This window comes from Homo sapiens, chromosome 17 (assembly GCF_000001405.40).
Source record: "Homo sapiens chromosome 17, GRCh38.p14 Primary Assembly".
Taxonomy (NCBI): domain Eukaryota; kingdom Metazoa; phylum Chordata; class Mammalia; order Primates; family Hominidae; genus Homo; species Homo sapiens.
Genome location: NC_000017.11, coordinates 79,487,104 through 79,514,236, shown reverse-complemented (window position 1 = coordinate 79,514,236; position 27,133 = coordinate 79,487,104). Strand labels below are relative to the sequence as shown.

Genomic DNA, 27,133 nt, shown 5'->3' with positions numbered 1-27,133 from the left:
CTGGCTGTGTGGACGCTGGGAGGTGAGCAGAATCCCAGGAGTGTTGGCCGCGTTTTCTGCTGCTTCCAGTGGCTTCCTCTGTCCAGCACAGGGTGGAGATGGTAGGAGGCTGTCATAGGCAAGTCTGATACACATGGTCCCCACCCAGCAACTCCAGAGGGGTAAATACCAGGAAAGTACACCGATTGGCCTGGCTGAGGTCACGTGCCTGCCCCTGGACCAATCACAGTGCTTCAAGGATTGGCAGGTCTGGTCACATGCCCATGGTGGGCAGGGCATCTTGATTGGCAGCCCTAGCCAAATTCCAAGTTAGACTAGGGGAAGCAGGGGTGAGCTGGCTACCAGATGTGCAGGGGCAGGCCCAGAAGGCCAACCACAGAGGCCCACTAGGGCACGCGGGCCCCCATAGACCCAGGAACCACACTCGGGAGAAATGGCTCTGTGTGCTGGCCCCAGGAGGCTGTGTGAAGTGCCCAGCGCCTGTACCGCCTCACTGACGGTTCTTTCTGGTAGGCAAGCTTGTGCGGCTCCCACTGTGGAGTGGAGGACACTGGAGCTCAGAGAGATCATGCAGCCTGCCCGAGGCCACGTGGCTGGTAAGAGGCAGAGCTGTGATTCAAACTCAAGCAGTCTGGTTCCAAGGAGGCCCTTTCACCACCCTGCTGTGCCATTTCACCAAGAAAGGCCCCCACTGTGGGGATGGGGGTCCACAGGAGGATGGGGGTATGGTCAGGGCAGCTGTGCCTGATGGTGAATGCTTCCAGGTATGTGCCACCTGGCCATGGCACAGCCATGCCCAATGGTGAATGTATTCAGATGTGTACCACTTGGCCACGGGGCCATGTTTGATGATGACATGCATCCTGGTGTGGGCCACCTGGCCGTGGGGCCATGCCTGGTGGTAACATGTATCTGGGTGTGTGTCACCTGGCCATGGGACCGTGCCCAATGGTGACATGCATTCGGGTGTGTGTCCCCTGGCCATGGGGCTGTACCTGATGGTAACATGTATCCAGGTATGTGTCCCCTGGCCATGGGGCTGTACCTGATGGTAACATGTATCCAGGTGTATGTCCCCTGGCTATAGGACTGTACTTGATGGTAACATGTATCTGGGTGTGTGTCCCCTGGTTATGGGGCTGTACCCGATGGTAACATGTATCTGCATGTGTGTCCCCTGGCCATGGGGCCGTACCCGATGGTAACACGTATCCGGGTGGGTGTCCCCTGGCCATGGGGCTGTACCCGATGGTAACATGTATCTGGGTGGGTGTCCCCTGGCCATGGGGCTGTACCCGATGGTAACATGTATCTGCATGTGCGTCCCCTGGCCATGGGGCCGTAGCCGATGGTAATACGTATCCGGGTGTGCGTCCCCTGGCCATGGGGCCGTAGCCGATGGTAACACGTATCCGGGTGTGCGTCCCCTGGCCATGGGGCCGTACCCGATGGTAACACGTATCCGGGTGGGTGTCCCCTGGCCATGGGGCCGTACCCGATGGTAACACGTATCCGGGTGGGTGTCCCTTGGCCATGGGGCTGTACCCGATGGTAACACGTATCCGGGTGGGTGTCCCCTGGCCATGGGGCCGTACCCGATGGTAACATGTATCCGGGTGTGCGTCCCCTGGCCATGGGGCTGTACCCGATGGTAACATGTATCTGGGTGGGTGTCCCCTGGCCATGGGGCTGTACCCGATGGTAACATGTATCTGGGTGGGTGTCCCCTGGCCATGGGGCTGTACTCGATGGTAATATGTATCCGGGTGTATATCCCCTGGCTATAGGACTGTACTCGATGGTAACATGTATCCAGGTGTGCGTCCCCTGGCTATGGGGCTGTACCCGATGGTAACATGTATCCGGGTGGGTGTCCCCTGGCCATGGGGCTGTATCCGATGGTAACACGTATCCGGGTGGGTGTTCCCTGGCCATGGGGCTGTACCCGATGGTAATATGTATCCGGGTGTATATCCCCTGGCTATAGGACTGTACTCGATGGTAACATGTATCCGGGTGTGCGTCCCCTGGCCATGGGGCTATATCCGATGGTAACATGTATCCGGGTGGGTGTCCCCTGGCCATGGGGCTGTACCCAATGGTAACATGTATCTGGGTGGGTGTCCCCTGGCCATGGGGCTGTACTCGATGGTAATATGTATCCGGGTGTATATCCCCTGGCTATAGGACTGTACTCGATGGTAACATGTATCCAGGTGTGCGTCCCCTGGCTATGGGGCTGTACCCGATGGTAACATGTATCCGGGTGGGTGTCCCCTGGCCATGGGGCTGTATCCGATGGTAACACGTATCCGGGTGGGTGTCCCCTGGCCATGGGGCTGTACCCGATGGTAATATGTATCTGCACGTGTGTCCCCTGGCCATGGGGCTGTACCCGATGGTAACGTGTATCCGGATGTGTGTCTCCTGGCCATGGGGCTGTACCCGATGGTAACATGTATCTGGGTGTGTGTCCCCTGGCCATGGGGCTGTACCCGATGGTAACATGTATCCGGGTGTGCGTCCCCTGGTCATGGGGCTGTACCCGATGGTAACATGTATCCGGGTGGGTGTCCCCTGGCCATGGGGCTGTGCTAGATGGTAACATGCATCTGGCCCATGTTGCCTGACAGATAAATTCTCACCTGACATCACGGTTCACTGCAGGGTTACCTCCTCTATTAAGCCCTTCCTGCTGCTGCCCTCACCCCACACGGGCAGAACTGCTGCATCCCCTTTGCTTTTGCTGTGCAGCTCTTGCTCACAGAGCCCTCCAGCAATTATCCCATTTCCACGACTCCTCCTCTGCAAGACCAAGAGCCTCATGGGCAGGACGATCATCCCTAAACTGTCTTTGTGTCCCCAGCCCCGACACATATTAGGCACTGAAAAGGGGGTAGTTTAAAACCTAAATGCATAGGTAACATGTCATACTGCATGACACCCCACGACACTGCACACACACAGAGTTTCGTCTAAGCGGATATCTGGACATCACAACCCTGCAAACACCTCCTGGCCCAGGGAGAGTCCCTTCCCGTTTCTTCCCTGACCCTCAGGAGGACACAGCCCAGGTGGAGGCTCCCGTGAGCCCTCTGCCAGCCAAGCAGTTGTTCTGCTTGACCTTGGTGCCCCTGCGTGGATGAGGACAGTCCTGGCAGAGCCTTTCCCTGTTAGCACAGCCCTGAATGTTGCCTGGGGCTGGAGGAGGTTCTGGGGGGCAGCCTCAGATTTTCTATTTGGACAAAGGAGGCCGAGGTTCTTGGCTCCTGGGATGCATTCGGCCCTGTGGGCTTTGCTTCCATCTCCCTCTCCTTCTCCCTAGGATGCTGCTGCTTGGGGGTACACTTTGGCCCAGGGGAAGGTAGAGCGAGGCCCCTGGTGGAAGCCCCAGGTGCTCGCCCCGAGTCCTGGCTGCCCTCCCCTGCCCTCCACTGTGCCTGGCCAGCAAGGGAGGCGCCCAAAGGAAAAAGTTTGGTGACGGATGCCAGGGAAACGTCCTCCGTCCTCATCCCCTCCATTAATCACCCGCTCGTAGGGGCGCTGGGCCCTGTTTAAGATGCACTGGTGGTTCTGAGGTGAGCGCAGGCATTCCCAAGCTCTGCTGTTAATCTGCTCCCTCCCAGACAGGCTACCTCAGGCCTGTTAATCACTTGCTGTAATTACAGCCCCAACTTTACACGGGGAATGTTAATGGATGCCTGGGATGGAGGGGCTGCGCAGGCACGGTGCCCCTCTCCCTGTGGCCCCGAACATGAAGGTTATGGGATTTGGTGCGGCTGAGGGTGCACAGAAATGAGTGTGTCGTCTGAGGGTAGGGTGGCTGGGTGCCAGCAGCAGGGGCAGCTTGCCTTGGCCCCTTGTCGTGTCCTGCGTGCTTGTCAGACCTGGCGGTGGGTGCGCAGCGGGTCAGGTACAAAGTATTTAAAGTGGGGGCTTGGCGGGACAGGGCTTGCTGGTTACAGGGAGCCGAGAGTCCCGGGGCCTGGCCGGGAGGATGGAACTTGTTGCCGATGGGAAGGGCTGGTGGCTTTTCCGTGGCACCTCTGTCGACACCAGACAATTCCACCACCCGTCCACTGCAGGAGACTTGGCTGCTGACCTGCAGGGCCAACTTCTGGTGGGTGGGCCGGGCTGTTGGCAGAGTTGCGTGAGGCCATTCACGCCGCCACTTGAGGACCAGAGGTAATGCTGTGGATGCTCCTTCTGCATTGACTCCTGTTGTAAAATTGATTTTTCTTGGGTTATGAAGGTAATATGTGCATATTAGAAAATATTTGGTTGTGCCTCCTCTCCCAGGCGTCATGCCCAAGTAAGTAGGATTGGAAGGATCTTTGCTGATGACATAGTGCAGTGCCTGCTCTTGGCAACTGGGGAAGCTGAGGCTCAGGGAGGGGTGGAGAGTCCTTGAGTCCATGGAAGCACAGGGCAAGGCCCTGGGCTCCTGGCTTCTCCCTCCATGCACAGCCCGGAGCTCCCAGCCCTCACCCTAACCCTGGGCTCTACCCCAGCTGTCACCGAGGGCCTGGGGTGCGACGGCTGATGGATGACGGAGGGAAAGGAAGGGACGGGTCCCTGAGGCCTCATAGCTCTCCCAGGCGCCGACCCTGCCATGGAACCGTTAGTATAAGGGAAGGAGGGGTTGGGGTGGGGAATGGTATGGCCATTTAGACCAGCCGGAGAACCAGCTAGAACGCTGTTACGATACAAGTGCCTGCCTGCCCTGGACTCAGACTCCGTCGGCCTGAGCATCGGTCAGTTTCCAAGCTCCCCAAGTGTTTCTGGACCTGCAGGTGAGGTCACAGTGAACAAATATACCCGCAGAGTGGGAGCCTGGGCCCCTGGCTTTGCTGAGCTATGTGCTCTGGGGCTGGAGGGGGTGTGGGGAGGACCAGGGCCCTTCTCTTCTTGTCCGTTTGTGTAGCCTCCGTAGCTCCAGCGTCCTAGAGAGAGACAGCCACCCACGCTGAAACACCGGCTCTGGCGCTCCTATCGACCAGGCCGCCTTGGGGACCCCGCTGTCCTCCTGCTGTGTCCCGGCTCTGCAGCCCCTTGCCCGGATCCCTCCACAACCTCATGGGGGCAGTGGTTGATTTAGACCCCAGGGCCGGGGCCCTGGGGCTGGGTCATTCAGACCGGCCAAAGAACCAGCTGGAACGCTGTTACAATACTAGTGTCTGCCTGCCCTGGGCTCTGACTTCGTCAGCCTTCGGGGGGCCCGGACGTGGGTCAGGCTCCAAGCCCCCCAGGTGTTTCTGACCTGCAGGTGAGGTTGAGAGCCTGATGTGGACTGGGGGTGTGGTCTGAGGCTGCAGGAGAAGTTTTAAAATCTGTGATGCAAGAAGTCCTTGGCTTTGGTGTGCCCTGTAGAAGCCGAGGGATGCAGCCAGGGGCACCTCGCATGGACGCCTGCCGCCCGCCTCAGCCCTCTGCCCTGGGGACACATGGCTGTGCTGGCAGCAGCAGGTGTGTGGGGTGTGCGGGGTGTGTGGGGTGTGCGGAGTGTGGGGTGTGCACGGTATACCGGGTGGGCTCTCCAAATCTCCCAGCGAGGGGGCTGTGCACAGCCCGAAGCTTCCCTTGCTGGGGCAGAGGACGCTGGCTGGCAAGGATCCAGCAGGTGGACCTGGGGCCGGAGCGCCCACCCCAACCCCAGATGAGTCATTAAAACTCCAGTCAGCTTCGGCCGAGCCAGCGCGGTGCTGCAGAGGCCTGTGGGGGTGCGGGGAGCAGAGAGAGGAGGGAGGCACTGAGAAGAATAACAACAAGGGAGGCAGTGGGCGGCCTCGGGCGGTCAGGGAGGCGGTGGGCGGCGGCCCAGCCTCGGGCAGGCAGGCGGAGGAGGTCGGGCTGGGCTGGCGGCTCAGGACGCCCCCAATGTTGGCAAACCTCCAGGGAGCAATGTGGCTGGGGTGGCAGCACTGGGTCACCAGCCACTAAGCCTCCCTCCGGAAGGCCCCTGTGCTGGAGGAACCCCCTCTCGGGGAGCTGACGCTGGCCTCCATGGCACCTGCTCTTCCCAGCGGCCCACCGGGTGGGCTTTTCTAGAAGGCCAGCGAGCGCAGGGGCTGCCGTCATTTTCATGCAGGGATTTCCTTTCTGCCCCGGTTTCACCGTGGCCTCTGGAGTCTGCTGGTGTTTTCCATGTTACCAGGCAGTTTACAAATCGGTCCCATTGAGGCTCCTAAATCCACGGGCCAGACCCTGACTTGTGTCCTCAACAGCATCCATGTTCCTAAGCCCCATTCAGGTCTTTGGTGGGAAGAGCTAGAGAAAAGCTGTCTGGTGAAGGATTCTGGTGGCAGATGCTGGAGTGTGTGGCCCCCTCACTGGCCCTGTCACTGTGATGGGCTGCCCAGGCCCAGGAAGGCTCAGCTTCCCCAGGGTGGGTTTTCCTGGCCTGCTCTGTGCAACCTCATTGGTGCGTGCCTTGGTTCTCTCACCTGTAAAGGAGAGAGGAGACTCTCCCTTTGGGGTGGTCATTAGAGAAGTCTCTGGAAACTTCTAGAAGGGTCTCATTATCAGTGAAGAGACCTCATGGACATCTCCTGAGGATGCAAGATGTGGCCAATGTCTCTGAGTGGCAGTACCAGCTGTGGCTTGTCTGACATGGGGGCTCTTGTCTGAGGAGAGGGGAGGGCTTCTGTTTCTTCTGAATCTCTTTTGACCTGGGATATGGACTGGACAATGGCAGGGGAGTAGGACTGCCCACCCTTCCCCGTCTCCACCCTGGGGCTGAGAATGGAGTTGACGAGAACCCACCCAGCATCCCGCGGGCACCTGACATGTGGGGCGGGGACTGCCAAGCAGGAGCCCCATTGTGGCGCCCCCATGGACGCCAAATTTAGGCCCTCCAACCTCAGAATTATAAGTCTCGGGCCCTGCTTAGGCCTATACTGCTGAGAGGAGACAGGGGTCTTCAGGGGGTGACTGCCCCATTTAAAACACCTGAGTGGCAGGTGGTGTGGGCGCAGCCAGTGCTCTGAGGCCCTGGCGGTTGTGTCTGATGGGATGGCAGAGGTACCCAGTGGTGTCTGATAAGAAGCAGGCGGGATGGAGCACCGCTTGGTCTGCTGCAGGGTGTGGAGAATGGGGCTGTGTCTCCAGCCTCCCCCGGGGGTCTGCCATCACCACCAGGCCCTCCGGCCAGGCTCCTCCGCTCTCCTGCCCCCAGGGCTCCCAGGCAGCATCAGATTCCACCAACGGGCTCCAGCTGCCTCCTGAGGGTGGATCCCGATTTCTCAGGCAGATGCTTGCCAGCCCGCAACAACCCAGAGTACCCATCCTAGGCCACATCTGCGCAGGCCTCCTGTGGTGACTGGGTTAGAGGCTTTGTCTCTAGAACTTCCCATCCTCTGGATCGTGGGGGCACTGGAGAAGGGTTCCAGCTTCCCAGCTGGGCTGCGTCAGGATTCCATGTTCTGCCGGAAGCGGCCGCCGCTCCTCTGCGGCCCCCATCCTGATTCGTTTCTCCTCGGTGCTTTGGTCCTGTCTCCCATCCAGACTCACTGAGCCCACCTTGGCCCCAGCTTCCAACCTCTGACAAACAGAACAGGGTGAAGGGGCTGGCCCGCTCAGCACTCCAGTCCCCAGGCCTGGCCGCGGCAATTGGCTTCCTTGGCTCTTTCCTCGCCATCTGGGGTCCAGCTCCCCGGTCATGGCCTGAGAGGCTCTGTGGCCCGGGGCAGTGCTGCAGGAAGGTAGGGGGCCACTGGAGCACTCCTCTTGGGACATCTGACAATATTTAGAATCTAAGAGGGGGCTGGGAGTGTGGAGGTCACCCAGCGCAGCCTCTGGCCCAGCTCCCCACAACAGACAGATGGCCGCTCGGCATCGCCTTGAATTTCCCCATGCGTGATGCAGTGATCGTGGGAGCCAAGGATGAGCCGAGTCCGTGTACCTTTGCTGCTTCTCAAGAAGAGCCACACAGCCAAGCCAGGCAGGAAACTGGCCCCCTCAAGTCCCTCCCCACCCCTTCTGGACCCTCCTCCTGGCACTCCCTCCTCCCTTTTCTGGCTCTGATGGAGGAAAGTCTAGAAGTGGAGATGTCCGGGGGCATTCCCTTTGCGAAGCAAGGTCCACAGGGATGTGGTATCAATTTCCTCATCTCTCTTCTGGCTTTCCCTTACTCTTCCTCAAACGCTTACTTCTCTGTTATTCTTAGCCTGGGAACTTTAAAACGTTTGCCATAAGCATCTATGTGTTTGGTGCATATGGGAGTAAGGGAAGGGGGAGGCGTCCAGGCTTGAATCCACCTGTAGCCACTTAGGAGGGCTGTGACCTTGGGCCAGTTATGCTCTTAGCCTTTGCTTCCTCAGCTATAACATAGGGGCCATGCCAGACCCCACCTTGGTTGCCTGGATTCAGTGAAATATGCAGGCTATGCATTCAGCATCGTGCCTAGTGTTTACAGCATCAAGCACTTAATAGCAGCGATAGAGATCAATATCATGGTCAAAATGTCTGCCCTTAGAGGCGTGCGGTGTGGGGACCATCAGAGCAGTGCAGCACTGTCTCACCAGCTACCTCTTCACTTCCCCTTTGACCTTCATCCCAGACACCTCCAGGCTCATACACCTCTGCTTTTGCTCCCATTCCTGAGCTGGTGGTGGTACCTCCTTGGTGCTCTGACAGTGCCCATGTCTCAGTTTGGCTTTTCCCAGAAGCAGACTCCGCCATCAGTATCTAAGGGCAAGCACTGGGGGAGGTGAAGGAGACAGAAGAGGAGCTGGGGAGGTGGGACAGGGAAGAGAGGCAGCCCAGGGTCTGCTGCGGGCAAGTGAAGCTGAATCCCACTGGGGACCCTGAAGGCAAGTGTAGGACACACAGCTTAGGGGTCTCCAGCCCAGGGGAGAGGGAGCTGGGGTATTTATACACCCACCTCTGTTGTTCGTGGACTGAGGCTGCTCCAGGGGTACTCTGGACCCCAGGCAGGTGCTGGCAGTGGGATGGGGCTGCGTACACTGAAATGTTTAAAGCGGGGGTGTGGTGGGCCTGGGCGGGGTCTTCTGTAGATCCTCTTCTGAAGCGATCATGATGGTGGTGCTAATAGCTGATAGAGTTCCTTTGTGGTGCCAGAGTCTAATCCTCCCACTGTTCCACTTAAGCAGCTTCTGGGTGGCATCTCCTTGTGAACTTCTCTGCCTGCCCTGGGCCTCAGATGCCTGAGCTTTGGGGATGCTCAGAGCAGCTGGCCGGCCAGTGGGTGCTTTACCTTATTGGGTGCCAGCTCTCACTAGGCAATGCTAGAATCTCCCCAAGAACCATTTTCTTGTGGCAAATGGCCACATCACCAGGCCTCATCACCAGGGAGTGAACCGATCTCATCTCACCATCTCATCCCTCACGCACGTCCGCATCTGTATATGTTTTTAGTGCATATCTGTGGTTGGCTGAATAAGGGCCCCCAAAAGATAGTCATGCCCTAATCTGCAGAGCCGATGGATGTTACTTTATATGTCAAAGGCAGACTTTGTAGGTGTGATGAAGTGAAGGATCTTGAGCTGGGGAGATGGTGCTGGATTATCCAGGCGGGCCCTAAATGTAATCACCAATGTCCTTATAAAGGAGAGGCAGAAGGAGATTTGACACAGACAAAAGAGAAGGCCATGTGACCACAGAAGCAGAGACTGGAGCGATGCAGCCACAAGCCAGAGAGTTGCTGCAGCCCCAGAGGCTGGAAGAGGCAGGCAACGCTTCTCTCCTGGAGCCTCTGGAGGGAGCTCGGCCATGCTCACATCTTGACTTCAACTAGGGAACTGGCTTTGGACATCTGGTCTCCCTCAGTGAGAGAAGAAGCTTCTGTTGCTTTGAGCGACTCTATTTGTGGTCATTTGTTGCAGGAACAGGAGGAAACTAATGCTGTGTTGTAAAGAAATGTGCCACATTGCTAGTGAGCGAGCTACTCTGGGTGGGAGGGAAGCGTCCCATGGCCGATCTCTGACTCGGCGAGGGAGAAGCTAGGAGTTTTAAATATCTGCTGCCAACGGCTTTGTTACGGCGGCTCCTGCTATGCCAGGTTTTGATTGGGGTACATGCCAATGTCACAAACGCTTACGCGACTGAACGGTTGCATGTGGGCAAGCCCTGATTGGGGTGGCTGCTCCCTCTGCCTAAGCAGGTGATGTCTTTGGTCACAGGAACTCTCTCAGGGGACGGTGCTCAGGAGCTCGAGGTGAGCACCCTGCCACCTGGAGCACCCTGCCACCTGGAGCACCCTGCCACCTGGAGCACCCTGCCACCCCGCCCACCCACCTTCCCATTTCCTTGACTGGAGTCTGGAAGGTGGGTGTGCACAAGCTCCGCTGGAGTCTAAGTCGGGAGGAAGGGTTTTGCATCCCCGTCCTGGTCCAGGAGCCCCTGTGAGCTCTGCACCCCTCTGGATTCCATCAGGCAAACACCCTCCTTCAGATGGTGGCTGGTGTGGAGGAGCTGTGGCTTTAGAGCCTGTGTAGGAGAGCCGGGCAGAAGACAATCAGCTCCTGGGAACCGGCTTCTCTTCCCCTCCCAGTGGACCCCTACAACCATAGTGGGGCCCCATGTCCCTTGGTTGTGGGGCTGCAGGACACGGAGGGATCCCTCACCTGCACCGTGCAGTGTGGCAGCCCCGAGCCACACGCAGCCGTGGAGCTGGAGATGTGGGAGTTTGGGTGGAGACAGGCTGGCCGAGTGTCTAAAACACACATGGGGTACCAAAGACCACGTGCGAGGCAGAGGATGAGCAATCTCCCATTGATAGTCCCTGTATTGATTACATGTCAAAATGATAATAGTGTGAATATATTACGTTAAATACACATATCATGAAAATTACTTTTGCTTGTTTTCAATTTTTTAAAATATGGCTCCTAGAACATGTAAAATCCCATGTGTTAGCAGACGCTTTTGGGTGGCTGTGCCAGCTCCGGGGCAGAGGGAGACTGGCTTGTTTGCTGCAGATCTAATCTGAAGGGTCTGCTGCCTGAATTGGGCGCCCCATGCATATGGTGAACCCCTAAGCCCCTGTGGAATGGTATCTGTAGACAAAGCCTTGTGAGGTGATCAGGGTCAAGTGAGGTCAGGAGGTGGGGCCGTTGTGATGGGATCAGTGCCCTTATAGCAGGAGACACCAGGGAGCCTGTTCTCTCCCCTCTCTCTTCCACATGAGGATGCAGGGAACAGGCATCTGTCTGTAAGCACGGAAAAGCCCTCCACAAAACCCGACCACGCTGCTCCCTGATCTCGGACTCCCAGCCTGCAGAACTGTGGGAAATACCTGTCTCTTGTTTAAGGTCCCCAGTCTGTGATATTGTTATGGGGTCCTGAGCTGATCGGGACAGGACTTTGAAAGGGTTCTCTGTGAAAGGCTGGAGGAGGTTGGCCAGGGTGGTGGCGGCAGGGTCCCCCTCCTTGCAAGCCTGCTGGAACCCCGTGGACAGGGAGTGGGGAGGCCGGGCCTCCTCTCTCAAACTCTGGATCTGTGCCGAGGAACAGAATCCATGCTTTTCCACGGCATGAGTGAGTCGTGGTAAAGGCCGAAGAGGCAACAGCAAGGAATGGAACCCCGTTTTTCTCCAGTTCAAAGGCAAGATTGGAGCTGCTCCCTCTGCCCAAGCAGGGTTCCAGTTCCAGGCTGGGGGCATGAGATAAATGTTCCTGAAAGACACAGGAACTGACATCACATCACTGCACAGTTGTATCATGGTGAAACATTACATTTTTTACTGTGGTAAAATATGCATAACATAAAATTTACCATCTTGATGATTTTAAAGTGGCCCGTTCAGTGACATTAAGTGAACACACCTTGTGGTGTGGCCATCACCACCTTCCATCTGTAGAACTTTGTCATTTTTCCCCATGGAAACTGTCTCCATTAAACACCAACTCCCCTTCCCCCTCCCTGCCATCCCTGGCACCCCACCACCCTATTTTCCTTCTCTATGAATTTGGCTATTCTAGGTTCTTCCCATGAGTGGAGTATTAGTCCTTTTGTGTCTGGCTTATTTCATTTAGCCTAATGTTTTCAAGGTTCACTCATGTATCAGAATATAGTTTAATGTTTTCAAAGCCCTTTCATTTAACTAATCTCACTCCACTCTCTCCAGACCCTGTAAATAGGTTATATTAGCCCCATTTTTCAGATGAGCACATTGAGGCTTATATCAAGGCTCAGTGGGACCTGCTTAGTGGTCACGTGGCCTGTGAGTGTGGCAATGACCAGGGTTCTCAGATATTTCTCCAGGATCTGTCCACTTCACCCTGGCCGGGTGCTGCCAGCGTGTCCCCAGCTTTGCCAACATGCCCCATCCACCATTTTAATAAATGGCTGTCACATAATTTAGAGAACAAAATCAATTCTGGAGGGATACTTCTGGCTTTAAATATCTCCCCCGTTTTCCCTCTTCTCTTTCTCTTGAGATAAGGCAGGGCAGTTTCTAAGAATAACTCCAAGTTGTGGGACAGGTCAGTTGTTAAATACTGTATAAACTGAGATGATGGGTCTAATTTGAAGCCTATTGACAGTGAGGCTTTGAAGGATGGGTTCCAGGCGGGGCATGTGTGTGCATGGAATGCAAATCAATAATGTATAAGGAGAAGGGCACATTATGCAAATTCCAGGTATTGGCATGGCGTCTGCCACAGTGAGAGGCCAGGATTCCTCAGAGGGAGGGGCCCAGCTGGAACAAATCCTTAGCCCCTCGGCTCTTGCAGGTTCAAACCTGTGGCTGTCATAATGACAAGGAGGAGGCAGAGGGTGGGACTCGGGAACAAAAGTGGCCTCCCCCACCAACCCCAGTGACTCAGGTTTCCTGGAGCTGTTGGACATCTCTTCTTTGGTAGCTGTGAGGCTTTTACAGGCAGGAAGAAGGGCCTGAGGGCTGCAGACAACCAGCCTCTCTGGCCAGCGAGATGAAGGGTCTGGGACCTTCCGCTGGACATGTGGAGGTGTGGCAGGGCGGCTGAGCCCGCCCAGTGAATGGGCCTGTCTGTCTTCCCCGCAGCCTGCAAGCAGGCTGGAGCGTATTGCTCAACCAACCTCATTACTCTTGAGCATTTAGCGGCTCGGAGGAAGATAATAGCTTTCGGGTTTGACCCAATTTTAGTTTTTGTTGTCATAACCATGGAAAATCGACCTTTGAGCCCCTCATCAGCAGGCCTGAATAGGAAGTGATTTACGCCACGTGCGCTGTGCGGAATCCCTAATGGTCTTGCAGGAAAGAGCTCCGCACCCTTCACGGAAGCCCTAATCTCCCCTCGGCAGTGATTTCCACAGCAAATTCTCATACTTCCCACGTCTGAGAGCCCACTCCCTGGAGATGCTGAAAATTGGGTTACCTTGAATTAAAAGTACTTAAGTAGACAGGCACACAAGCAAACGTGTCCCTAGCACGGGTGTCTGCATCTCCAAGCCTGGCCCACCTGCCCTCAACGTCATTCTTCCTGGGCTTCACTGTCACTTCCTGTTTCCAGGGAACAGGCAGGGGCTGCAGGCAGGGAAGTTGAGGCTTCACAGGATCTCTTGCAGAAGTCTTTCCTTTTCTGGTTTGTAAGGGAGACAGAACTAGACGTTTCATAATCAATGTCTTTTGATACGGGAAAAGGAGAAGGGGGATGGGGAAATTGAAGGGGGAAGGTATACCAGTTAGCTATTACTGCACGACAAACTATGAAAACCCATTGCTTAAAACAACAATCAATGACTGGGCATGGTGGCTCATGCCTCTAATCCCAGCACTTTGGGAGGCCAAGGCGGGAGGATCACCTGAGGTCAGGAGTTCGAGACCAGCCTGGCCAACATGGAGAAACCCTGTCTCTACTAAAAATGCAAAATTAGCCAGGCGTGGTGGTGCATGCCTGTAATCCCAGCTACTCAGGAGGCTGAGGCAGGAGAATTACTTGAACCCCGGAGGCGGAGGTTGCAGTGAGCCGAGATTGCACCCTTGCACTCCAGCCTGGGCAACAAGAGTGAAACTCCATCTCAAAAAAAAAAAAAAAAAAAAAAAAGTCATTTCTCTTTATGGTTCACAAGTCTGTGTCGTTGGGAGTTGGCTGACCCTGGCTGGTCTCCCTTATGGGTCTGTGGGTTGATTCAGTTGCCCTGCTCCTGGCTTGGTCTAGCTGGGGCAGCTGTGCTCTATGGATCTTTCATCCCCGTCCTGGGACCAGGGAGCCAACCATGGCAATGACAGAACAAGTGGAAACATACAAGGCTTCTTCTCGCCTAGGCTTGGAAATGGCTCACCATCTCTTCCACCTCATTCTGAACAAGTCCCACGGCAGGCCCAGATTCATAGAGGGTAGGGAAGGAGGCTCCACCTCTTTTGCAGGAAAAACTGCAAAATCGCATGGCAAAGGGCATGAAGTAGGAAAGAATAGAGAGCCCCATTAATGCATACTCTTTTGTTGGTGTGGAGGGTGGCCAATTCTGATGATGATGCGGATAATGGCCACCACTGTATATCAAATGCTAACTATGTACCTGCCACCAGAGCAAGCATTCTGGATACACGGTCTCATCTGTTTCTTATGGTAACCCAATGAGAAAGTTATTATTGCCCCATTTTATAGGTGATTAAACTGAAGTTGAGAAAGGTTAAGTAACTTGCCCGAAGATAGTGACAAGGGAGCCAGGATTTTGATCCAGGATTATCTGATACCCAAGCCCAGACTTGTAGGTACCTCACATTTCAGGCTTTGTAGTACTGACCTCCAAACCCTGCCCCTGTTGTGGGCCTTCTCACCCCCTCTCATTGGGGTTTCTTTGTGGATGAATGAATGGATGGTGGATGGGTGAGTGGGTAGATGGATGGATGGATGAATATATAGATGGATGGAAGGTTGGATGCATGGATGGATGAGTGAATGAATGAATAGTGGATGGATGGATGGATGGATGAATATATAGATGGATGGAAGGTTGGATGCGTGGATGGATGAGTGCATGAATGAATAGTGGATGAATAAATGGATGGTAGATGGGTGGGTGGTTGGATGGGCAGGTGAATGGATATGTGAATGGATGGATGAATGGATATATGAGTAGGTATATGTATGATTGGATGAATAGATGAGTGAATGGGTAGATGGATGGGTGGGTGGGTGGATGAGTGAATGGATGGGTGGGTGGATGGATGGATGGATAAGTGGATAGATGAGTGAGTAGATGGATGAGTGAGTACATGGATGGGTAGGAATGTGGATGGATGGATGGGTAGATGAGGGTATGAGTGGATGGATGGGTATATGAGTGGACATATGAGTAAGTGGATGGGTAGGTGGAAGGATGAGTGCATGAGTGGATGCATGGGTGGGTGAGTGGATGGATGAGTGGATGGATGGGTAGCCATATGGATGGATGGATGGATGGATGGATGGATGGATGGATGAGCGAATGGGTAGATGTGGTGGGTGGAAGGATGGGTGCATGAGTGGATGGATGGGTAAGTGGATGGAAGGGTGGGTGAGTGGATGGATGAGTGTATGGATGGGTAGGCAGATGGATGGCTGGATGGCTGAATGGGTAGATGGGGTGGGTGGAAGGATGGCTGCATGAGTAGGTGGATGGGTAAGTGGATGGATGGGTGAGTGAGTGGATGGATGAGTGGATGGATGGGTAGGCTTATGGATGGATGGATGGATAGATGCATGGATGGATGGGCGAATGGGTAGATGGGGTGGGGGGAAGGATAGGTGCATGAGTAGACGGATGGGTAAGTGGATGGATGGGTGAGTGAGTGGATGGATGAGTGGATGGATGGGTAGGCTTATGGATGGATGGATGGATGAGTGAATGGGTAGATGGATGGGTGGGTGGAAGGATGGCTGTGTGAGTAGATGGATGGGTGAGTGGTTGGGTAGGTATGTAGATGGGTGGATGGATGAGTGGGCAGGTGGCGCTTTGTTGAGCCATACTGGTTTTGGGAGGTCTTCCCCCTTCATGAAGCTCCACAAGAGCCAGAATTCTTCTGTTGGATTGTAAGAATGCTGCCCAAAGGAGCGCAAAAGGAAAACGAGTTCCTATGAAGGCAGATGTCATGGCGGGATCCCTGAGGGAGAGCATACTGAAGGCCAAAACTGGCCCTGAGTCAACCTGGGCTTACATAGCAAGGCCTTCTCTCTGCCAGGCCTCAGTCTGTGTTCTCAGCCAAAAGGCAGGGCAAGCGGTGGTCAGAAGAGCCTCTTGCCAAAGAGGTAAATCTCCATTCTGCTCCTCTCCTGTCTGCTTTTGTCTGCTCCTCAGCACCCACAGCTGTTCCCACCATAACCTTCTGGAGCCTCCTGCACATCTGCCTAACATCTGCTCTTCTAGGGGTCTGGTCCAAGGCCAGGGCCTTGTTGCTGTCAGAGGGAGTGGGGAAGCTCCTGGAGTCCTGCAGTAGCCTCTCTTAACCTGGGGAGGTCTTGGGCAGACTCTAAGCTTTGGCTTAGTCCCTGCTGGGGTGGCCATTGGCTCCAGAGGGGAGGGGAGCAGCTTTGGCCGTGCCCATCTGTGTTGCTGTAAGGTGCACACCTTCAGAGATGGCCCCTCAGTACCACCAGCCTTGTGTATGTAATGTCCATCCCTACCTGGCACCTTACCCAGGCAGCCAGCTGGGGGGCTGGGAAGAGGACATTGTTCTAGAGCTTCGTGTTTACTCCTGCCCTCTCCTCACTGCCAGAGAACTGATGAGGAAAGAGCCAGGCTTTGTGTGGACACCGGTGGCTTCTGGCCTTCCTGCCACTGCTGGTAGAAACTCACCGAGGCAGGTCTCCTAGTACTACGTATGAGACACTTTCCTTATCATTACATTGATGATTGCTTTTTTTCCCAAACGTATTGCTTGGGCTCCATTGGCTGACTTTGGCTGAATAAAAGACTCTGCGGTCCATTGGAAGCCTTAGGGGTCTGAGGCAGTGGCTTTTGCTCAAATCTGTTTTCGGTCCAGGAGTTAACTTTTTTAAATTAAAAAACTGAGGGTAATTTACATACTATGAAATGCGTAGGTCTTAGTATGGTCCAGTGAGTTTTGACAAATATCTGTACCATTATAGCCATGACCTAAATTGAGATATTTCCCAGCTTTCCCAGCTCCCAGGAAAGTTCCTTGAGTCATGGGGCCAGGGGGAGGAGTGGCAGTGCACCTGGGTGGGGGCTGCCATGCAGGGGGTGGACCCAGGACTTCCGCTTCCACCTTAGGAGGGCTCTCATGATGGCCTCAGCCAGTGCAGGCTCATGACAGCCCCGCTTCTTTGAGGTGATGGGCTGGCTGGGAGGGATAGCATGGGGACAGCCTGACAGAACAGGGGTCCCGAGGCAGGCAAGGACCGTGAAAGGTCATCGGCTCCACACAGGTAACACCCAAATCACTCAGGAAGATTTCCATGCCCTGCTACGTGGCAGACATTGTCCTCAAGAGCTCCCAGCTCCGTGGGAGGCAGGCAGGCTTTCGGCATTCACGTGACAATCTCGTGAACACCTAAGATAACGCATGGGAGGCTCAGAGGTGGGCATCACTGTGTCCTAGGCTGTCAAGGAAAGGGTGGGGTAAGGGCCGTCTCTAGGAGAGCTCTAATGACACATCCTGCCAGGAAATTCTGTATGCTGTTGTGGCCTCAAACCCCTCTGCTGCTGTCTGTCCCTGTTTGCCTCCTGTCCTCAAGGTGGCCAGGGACCGCTGGGAAGCCAAGCCCCGCCAGGGCCTGGGCAGCTTTCTCCTGGTGGCTAGAATTCCCCCACAGCAAGACTATCTGGGGAATTCTCTTGAAATGTTTGTGCAAAGCAAATGTTGTTGCAGTTGCTGGCTAGTGTATTTTTTAAAGCGTGTTATGGTTTTGAGTTATTTCCCTGATGCCCAGGCTGGAAGTGTGTGCTAGGCCTAGAGAGAGGAAGAGCCCCAGGACAGGAGCATTAAAAAACAAAACCTTCCAGGAGATGCAGCCAGACCGTGGGCAGAGATGGAGGTCTCAGGGCCAGGTGGGGGGCCTTTAGGAGCGCTGGTCATTCCTGTTGCTGTAACAGGACGCCAAGGAATGAGTCCCATCCAGGCCCACCGGCTTTTAGGATCCAGAAGTGAAAATGCCCCACTCTGAACTCCCGGAAGCCCTCAGGTCACCAGTAGCCCTGGCCTCCAGCCCGAGAGGGGGACTCTCAGTCCCCAACTCTGACTCTCTCCATTTTGCTCCACTTTCCAAAAGTTCAGCATTCTATTAAGGTCGCAGTCCCCTCCATTTGTGGCATACAGCCAGTCTCGGAGAACATGTCGGCCGTTCAACATCCTAATCTTATTAACCAGGGGCCATGCTTCTGCATGTTTCTGCACGTTCCCATCTGCCACGCTGCCACTGCTCAGGCTGTGCCGAGGCTGGAGGCCTGCAGGGTCCCGGCCTGCAGGGTCCCTGCCCACAGGGGCCTCTGCCTTAACCTCCACCCCGTCCACCGCCTACACCCCCAACCACCTTCTGCCACCCTACACCTGCACCCAGACTGTGGATGTCTGCACCCCTCCCCTGCCCCGTGCCCTACCCTGTCATACCCTCTCCCCCACCTCCCTCCATCTGCACCCCTGTGCCCCCAACCACCTTTATGTACCTGTGCCTGTCCCATGCATTCCATTCCCACCTTCCTGCACCCCCATCCCTGCCCCAGTACCCTTTCCCCCACCTCCCCACCCTCTGTACCCCTCCCCCACCTTCCCACATCCCCATCCCTGCCCCCAGTACCCCTGCCCCCACCTCCCCACCCTCTGCACCCCTCCCCCACCTCCCCACCCTCTGCACCCCTCCCCCACCTTCTTGCCTTTTTGCACCCCTGTCCCAGTCCCCTCTCCCTCTCCCCACACCTCCACCCCCTGTTCCCCCTTCCTACCTCCTTGTGCCCTTGTACCCCACCCCATCGTGGCTTCTACACTAGTGCCCCTCCCTTGTCCCCCGGAAGCCCCCTGCACCCCCCAACTCCCCGCCCTTCTCTGCTTCCCCCATGGTGTTCACGACCCGTGCCAGCCGTCCCTCCCTTCCCCCCTTCAGGAGGCTTCTCCAAGGCCTCACTTCCAAGCTGGAGAAAAGCAACTAGAAAGTTCCTCTCTTCACCTCCCACCCGACGTAAGCCAGGTAACTCACCTGTGGAGATCCTCGAGGGGACCGGGAAACAGGATGGGCTGTGAGGAGGGGGCTTCGACCCTTAACGGGGCACAACACCTGGGGAAGCACGCATGGGGATGAACCTGAACTGTGGCAAACGTGCCACCCTCCATATCCCAGATGGCCACTGCGTGGACAGACAGCCACCCCCAAAGATGGGGCAGACTTGGGTGGTTCCAAGTCCTCCTCGGGGCCCAGCTCCCTGTTCAGATGAAAATCATCGACCTCCAGCTCTGCATGGCTCCTGCGTGGGTCCTCTTGTGCCTCTGTTGGGTGTGGCTATCTCAGGCTGTGGCCCTGGACCGGATGCTGGTGTTGGTGACTGTGCCGCTGGCCACAGATACTCCTCTGTAGGCAGGGTTGGGTTCAGTCCTTGACGGGCCTCACTTCCAGCCTGGGTCCTGCTGCTGAAGCCCTCAGCTGTTCAGGCCCTCTGGCCTCCTTGCCTGGGCATGGGAGGGTTTATGTCTCTGAGCTGCTTCTCTGCTCCACGCCTCCCGCTCCTTCAAGCCTCCACTGTTACCTCCTTCAGAAAGCTGCTCATTCCCCAGCCCACTCCAACCCTCCCTGTGTCCACAGTGCTCTGTGTGTCTTCTCTGCAGTGTATTGTAATTACCAGTTGAAATCATGGCAATGTGGACCTATGCTCTGGCCCAGGCCCAAGTGCTTTGTTGGTGAGGAACAAGAGGGGGTGCCAGCCTGTGCGGTGGGAGCAGTCCTGCTTACAGGCAAGCTGTGGAAGTTTAAGACGTTATGCTACTTGCCCAGGGCCTCACAGCTCGGGGAGGAAGGGTGGAGGGGGACAGTCAGCCTTCAGGCCTCACCCCTTACACTGCATCTTCTCCTGCCCTGCCTGGCTGCCAGCTTCCCCACCAAGACTCTGAACTGCTGAGGGGACAGGTTCCCACCACCTAGCCCAGTTGTACAGCCTCAGCCTGTTGATGTTTGTTGAATGCTTGAAGGAAATACGGTGGCCACTTGGAATTCCTAAAGAAGCCCTCATTTTAATTACTATTTATTTATTTATGAGATATGAGATGGGGTCTTGCTATGTTGCCCAGGCTAGCCTCAAACTCCTCAGCTCAAGTGATCCTCCTGCCTCAGCCTCCTAAGTAGCTGGGATTACAGGCATGCACCACCGTATCCAGCTTCCCCACTTTTAGAATGATGGAAGAGCTGGTCTGGGTCAACTTCAGAGTCTCCTGTCCTTCTCCACCTCCTCCCCCAGCCCAGCTATGTTTTCCTCCAGAGCCAAGGAGCCCTACTGCCGCGGCGGGTGTGTGACTTGGGGAGGGAAGTGGTTTTTCCACCAGTTGAACTGGGCCTCCAGGTGAAACTCAGGGTTTTTATCTTTCTTTCTTTCCATCCATTTATCCAACAAATATAGAGAAACTAGGATATATCATGCACTTGGTTTATGGTAGTGAATGAAACAGATATTTCCCAGCCTTCATAGGTCATGGCTGAGACAGAAACAAATGAAAATATAATTACAACTTGCAACAAATGCCAGGCAGCTATGACAGAGTGACCGGGAAACTGGGGTTGGGGACTCCTTTAGCATGGGTGGTCAGGGAAGGCCTCTCATTGAAGACCGAAGACCCTGGGAGTGGGATCTGAGAGATGTGATGGGGCCAGCAGCCAGGCAGGGAGGTGGCAGGTAAGAAGGTCTGGACTGAGACAGGGTAGGGGGAGAACTTGGTCCCTGGGAAGCCGGGGTCCTGCTGTGCCTTTGTAGCATCTGACGCTCTCCTTCTGGAAATGCTCTTGATACGGTTTGGATGTGTGTCCCCCTCCAACTCTCGTGTTGAAATCATTTGCCAGTGTTAGAGGTGGGGCCTGGTGGGAGGTGATTGGATCATGGGGGCGGATCCCTCATGGATGGCTTAGTACCACCCCCTTGGTGATGAGTGAGTTGTCCCTCAATTAGTTCATGTGAGATCTGGTTGTTTAAAAGAGTGTGGTGCCTCCCTCATCTCCCCTCTTGCCGTGTGATACGCCTCCTCCCTCTTCAGCTTCCACCATGAGTGGAAGCTTCCTGAGACCTCACCAGGAGCAGATGCCAACACGGTGCTTCCTGTACAGCCTGCAGAACCAGGAGCCAATTAAACCTCTTCTCTTGATAAATGACCCAGCCTCAGGCATCTCTGTATAGCAATGCAAGAACAGCCTAATAGACCTCTCATCCTTGGGATTTTGTTGTGTTTCTCAGCCTTGTCTTCCTCCTTTTGAGGGCTCTTCCTCCTCCCTCCTCACGGGCCTTTCTCTCCCACCACTGCCTCCTGGCGTGTCCCAGTGTGACCTTCCTCACCTCTGTAATCTGCTCTCATCCTGTCTTCTCACTTCGCGTTCTTCTCCATGCCTGTGGCTCCAGCCACCATTCATATTTTTTTGTAATCCCTATGTTATCTATTGCTGTGTAATAGATTATCCCCAAATTTAATGGCTTTAGACAACAATCATTTATTAGCTCATGGTTTCTGAGGTTCAGGAATCTGGGAGGGGCTCAGCTGAGTGCCTGGCTCAGCGTCCCTTCGAGGTTGCGTTGATATGTTGGCCGGGGCCGCAGGCATGGGAAGGCTCAACTGGGGCTGGAGGATCTGCTTGTAAGCTGGTCTCTCTCGTGGCTGCTGGCTGTGGCCCCAGTTCCTCTCCAGGTGGCCTCTCTGTAGGGCTGCCTGAGTGTCCTCATGACAGGGCGGCTGACTTCCTCCAGAGTGAGAGAAAGATGGAGCTCTTTTAAGACCTAATCTTAGAATTGATGAACCTTCACTTCTGCTGAATTCTATTGGTCACACAGACCAGTGCTGGTATGACAGGGGAGGTGACACCAGGGGGTGTCTGGGCACCAGGAGGTGAAGACACAGGGGCTGTCTTAGAGCCTGGACTGCCACAGTCCCCAGTGCAGGCAGGATTCTCTCCAGCTTGGATGCTAGCACCACCACTGACCAACCCTCCTCCCCGACATTCCAGGGGCTCTTCAAACTCAGCATGTCCAGTGTGAGCTCAGCCCCATCGGCCTTGAAACATCATACTGTGCCATTTCTTTTTTGTTTTGTTTTTGAGACAGAGTCTTGCTCTGTCATCCAGGCTGGAGTGCAATGGCATGATCTTGGCTCACCGCAATTTCCACCTCCCAGGTTCATGCAATTCTCCTGCCTCTCGAGTAGCTGGGATTTCAGGTATGCACCACCATACTTGACTAATTTTTGTAGTTTTTTAGTAGAGACAGGGTTTCACCATGTTGGCCAGGCTGGTCTTGAACTCCTGACCTCAAGTGATCTGCCCACCTTGGCCTCCCAAAGTGCTGGGATTACAGGTATGAACCACCATGCCCGGCCTTGTGCCATTTTTAACATAGGAAAAGGTGTAAGGAATAGCAGAGTAGACTGTGGGTAATAATGCGATAAATGACACCATCACCAAGCTGAAGGCCCCTGCACTGCAATTTCCTGATGTCCTGGTCTCCCAAGCCCAACTTCTTCCTCCTCACCTTATCACAAACTGGCCCCCTATTTATGTAGTTGGACAAACCCGAAACCCGGGAGGTGGCTTGCGTCTTCCTCATCTCCCATGTGGGTGGGACTGGTCACCGAGTCCTGGTGTTCACAGTCACTAACTCCATCCGCCCTTCCGTAGGCCATTGGATCACCTGGGCCACCTCCCTACTGAGATTCCTGCCTTGGTTTTTCCCCTCTACCCAGCCCACATCGGCACCAGAGCGTGCTTCCGAATACCCAAATCTTCATCATGTCCTACTTAAAATTCCTCAAATGGCTTTTTAAAGTCCTTGGCATGGTGTTCAAGGTACTTCCTGATCTGGTTTCTAACTTATATGTCTGGTCTCATCTCCTGCTACCCCTAGTCCTAAACTTCCTCTATTATTTGCATTCCCTAGATGACATTTCCCCTACCCCTTCTGTCCAAGGCTCTGCACCTGCCCTCCTCTCTCCTCCCCTCCCCTCTCCTCCCCTCCCCTCCCCTCCCCTCCCCTCCCCTCCCCTCCCTTCCCCTCCCCTCCCCTCCCCTCTCCTCCCCTCCCCTCCCCTCGCCTCCCCTCGCCTCCCCTCCCCTCCCCTCCCCTCTCCTTTCCTCCCCTCCCCTCTCCTCTCCGATTCACTCCAGGGTTGGTCACCTGCCCTAGGAAGCCAGAACACCTCCCATGAATGCAGTACCTCTGCTTAGGTTCCTAGACACCCGTCACCCATGTCTCTCTATTGGCTCTTCACTCTTTCATGCACTCACTCAAGCATGTTTGCTTAGCACCTGGGGTGTGCCAGGCACCATTCTCGATGGCTTAGCTGTGGTGCTGAGAAAAATAAGGCCCCAACCTTCTAGAGCTTGCCATCTTGTAGGAGCCCATACCCTGCCTCTGGGGTTGTGGTTTACCTGTTCTCTCTCTCTCTCTCTCTCTCTCTACACTGCAGGCCCCTCAACAGGTGCCTGTGGTGTTCCCAGCTGTGCCCCAGTATCCATGCAGGAGGGACTCATGGATGTTTAGCACAGCAGTGATGCTCTCTGGAAGGGCCAGAAACTGGAAACTAAATGAGTTGCTTGAAACCCAAGTGGCCCAGCAAGCCAGCCATAGCCAGGCTGAGGATTTGTTGTTGTTGCTGTATTTTGGGGAACATTTCTGATTTTGAGCCCACGGTACTCCCTACCACTAGGATCAGCCTCATGGCCAGGGTTCTGGGCCCCCAGCCCCACTGAACCCGGGTCAGGCAGTCTCCAGCCTCTCCTCCAGAAACCATTCTCCCGACCTTGGGGAAAATTGCTTCCCAAATTACAGCCCTCCACTTTGCAAGCTTTAAACACAGCACTGAGGACACATAAATTACAAAAGGCCTTTCCCTTTCCCGTTGGATACGTTGAATAATGTAACATTTCAACAATACCAAAAGGTACACTGTATTATTAAAACACACTGGTATTAAAAAAGAAGAAGTATAGCTACAGTAAAATTGTCACCGACTCCCACCAGATGCCAGAAGAATAAAACCCAAATTATTTTTGCCAGAGACAGGATTCAGAAGGCATGAGGGGAGCCAGGAATTAAGCTGGTTTCACAAGAGTGGTTTAAAAACAGGGGGAGGAGGTTCATTTATTCTGAATATTGTATATTCCCTATAATCTTTACTACTAAAATGAGGTGCTCTGTGTTGTTTTTCTCTTGGTTAAAGAAAGAGCAAATTTTGCTTTCTTAGTTTGAGTCCTATTTTAAACTCTGATTTTGGTTAGGAGCTTATGTTTTGCGGGGTACAGAGGCTGAGGAGGAATTGGGGTGATGGAAAATGGAAGAGAGCAAAGCCAGCAGCCCTGAAAGGTATGAGAGGGATTAACCAGAAAAGATGGCAGAAGTAGAACCACTGGCACCCAGGGAGAAGCTAGTGTAAGAAAAACAGAAGGAAAGAGAACAGTGCCTTGAGGAACTGCACCCCGGGCAAGCTCCAGAGGGCTGCATACCCTGAGGAAATGCTGCAGTTGGGAGGGTGCACAGCTCTAGTACCTTTGGAGAATTCCATGGTTTTAAAAAAATGAATGTTGGACCAGGTGCAGTGCCTCACACCTGTAATCCCAGCACTCTGGGAGGCCAAGGTGGGTGGATCGCTTGAGCTCAGGAGTCCGAGACCAGGTTGGGCACCATGGTGAAAGCCCATCTCTACAAAAAATGCAAAAATTAGCCAGGCATGGTGGCGCACACCTGTAGTCCCAGCTACTTGGGGGACTGAGGCAGGAGGATTGCTTGAGCCTGGGCGGTGGAGGCTGCAGTGAGCTGTGTTCAAGTTACTGCACTCCAGCCTGGGTGACAGAGTGAGACCCTGTCTCAAAAAATAAAATAAATGAAGAATGTTAAATCCTTGCCATTACTCTGATTCTTTTTTTTTTTTTTTTTTTTTTAACTTTCTGGCAGGACTAGAAGGCTAAAATGTTCCGCTCTCTGCAATAAAATGAACCAGCAAAGGCGTAGTTTGGGGAGAAAAGTAAAATCTAAAATGTGCGAGTGGAGTCCTCTGAGATTTTGCAAATGCCATTTTCTGAGTCCCTCCAGGAAGCCAAATAAGAATGCAAGCATATTTCTGGTGATATTGCTATCTTTGTTAAAAAACAAAACAAAACAAAACAAAAGATAAGCAAAATGCTATAAAAACCCAAACTTGATTTCTGGTGATTTTAGGGTCCTTCCTTTGGAGCCCCTGGTCTCAGAGTCCCCTATGCTATGTCCCTAAATGGCTCTTTCACAAGCCCATGTGTGACCATCACAAAGAGGCCTGTGGCTCTGGTGGCCTTCAGAGGTCATTTGACTCCTCGGAGTATTAGGAGAAAGCGCAGCTGTGATTTAGTGCAAAGCCCTTTCTGTCTTCTTTCTGTGTGCCTCATACAGGGGGCAGGGAAGGTGACATCCAAGACACTTTGGGCAGGGATGGGGTTGCTAGTGTACCTTGTTGAATGTCCGGAACCTGGGTCTGCATCTGCCACATAGTAGACACTTCCTGTGAGTTGATGCGGAAAGGATCAGGGATGTTCAGATGTCCCAGGTCACACAGTGATGGGCTGGGAGGAGAACCCAGGCCTGCGGGTCCTGCTCCAAGCTTTTCCCTTGCCATGGCCTGGAATGTTCCAAGGCATGCCAATCAGGCTGTTGCAGAGAATGGAGTGTAGCATGCTCTGAGAAGACGAACAGCCTCAGAATTCAAGTCCTGCACTGGCAAGGCTGCATCTGCCCAGAGGGGGACCATTGTCTCATTCCCCCATGTGCTGCTGTCAGTAGGCCCCGGGGAGGGGGTAGTGAAATGGGGGGCTCCGCCTCAACTCACCGGCCACTTCTGCCTCTCTGTGATGCCTCATCTTAAATCCTATAAATGAAGCCATGTCCTCAGATGAGCCTTAATTTATAAGGGACTGGTGATGTCCCCAGCCTGTCCTTGCATGCTGAAGTCCAAGTGTGGCCTTCTATTTGGAGATGTGCGGAAAAAAATCCAGGATGTATGCTTGGCTGTTTGTCCTCTCTCTGCACAGGAGGCTGTGAGTGTGAGGGTCTTGGGGTGCCTGTGTTTTAGGTGGGCTGAGTTCATTTGCTTTGCCATGTAGAATGGGAAGTTCATTCCACCTCACCCCCACCTCTAGGAGCCTGAAGACCATCCCGTCGTCAGATGCAAATCAGTGACAACTTCTTGATCCCATTTGTTGGTGTTCAGGTCACCCAGGAATTTTTTTTTTTTTTTTTCTGAGATGGGGTCTTGCTCTGTCACCCAGGCTGGAGTGCAGTGGAGCGATCTCGGCTCACTGCAAGCTCCGCCTCCTGGGTTCACACCATTCTCCTGCCTCAGCCTCTCCAAGCAGCTGGGACTACAGGCGCCTGCCACCACACCTGGCTAATTTTTTGTATTTTTAGTAAAGACAGGGTTTCACAGTGCTAGCCAGGATGGTCTCAAACTCCTGACCTCGTGATCCACCCACCTCAGCGTCCCAAAGTGCTGGAATTTTCATCAGAAACATTACCCAGCTCCATGCCACTCACCCAGATTGACTTCCTTCTTTGCAGCATTCATTTCACCAAAACTGCTGAGCGCCTACTGTGTGCCAGCATTGGCCAGGCGCTGGGGCACGATAGTGAGCAAACACTGACGGGGGGCTGAGGACGAGGATGATGATGGTGATTCGGCCAGGCTCTCCTCTCCCCCATCTCAGCACATTCTTTCCTAGCTGTGCGTGTCCCTTGCTTCTGGCCTCCCCGCCACCCGGCCTCTGCAGCATCTTTGTCAACACAAGTCCACGCTTCTGACCAAAGGCAACTCGTGAGTCCAAGGTCGTCGGGGCCAGCCAGGGCAGGTCATCTGACTTCTGCCTTCTCTGCCCTTGCCCAGGGCCTGCCATCCTAGCCTCCTCTCTGCCTGGCCAGTGCATCTCACCTGGGCTATCTGCCTGTGGCTTCTGCTCCAGCTACCTTGTGTGCCTCACCCACACCTCTGCCATGGCCCTCCTCAATCTTCCCCTGTCCAGGCTGGGTGAACATGCCTCATCCCCAGAGGCTTCC

The 27,133-nt window shown here is 54.5% G+C and overlaps 1 protein-coding gene across 55 annotated transcripts in view, besides 1 other annotated feature; it reads left to right on the top strand.

Moving 5' to 3' along the window:
* Positions 1–27,133, top strand: part of RBFOX3 (RNA binding fox-1 homolog 3) — a 576,227-nt gene that overhangs the window by 151,335 nt on the left and 397,759 nt on the right. For 6 of the 55 annotated variants that reach the window (NM_001385844.1, NM_001385829.1, NM_001385808.1 and 3 more), the window contains exon 1: positions 4,399–4,793. The exons of 46 other annotated variants lie outside the window; for them this stretch is intronic. The gene's annotated coding sequence lies outside the window, so the exon portion shown is untranslated. Of the gene's footprint in view, positions 1–4,132; positions 4,186–4,398; positions 4,794–5,370; positions 5,467–27,133 lie in introns of those variants that run through there. 3 more of the 55 variants (NM_001385835.1, NM_001385810.1, NM_001385832.1) reach the window with 2 other exon arrangements.
* Positions 4,637–5,294: an enhancer, noted in NCBI's record as "H3K4me1 hESC enhancer chr17:77505025-77505682 (GRCh37/hg19 assembly coordinates)". NCBI's record gives its function as "activates a minimal SCP1, AML or CMV promoter by ChIP-STARR-seq in primed H9 embryonic stem cells {active_cell/tissue: H9 hESC(primed)}" and the evidence as "EXISTENCE:reporter gene assay evidence [ECO:0000049][PMID:30033119]".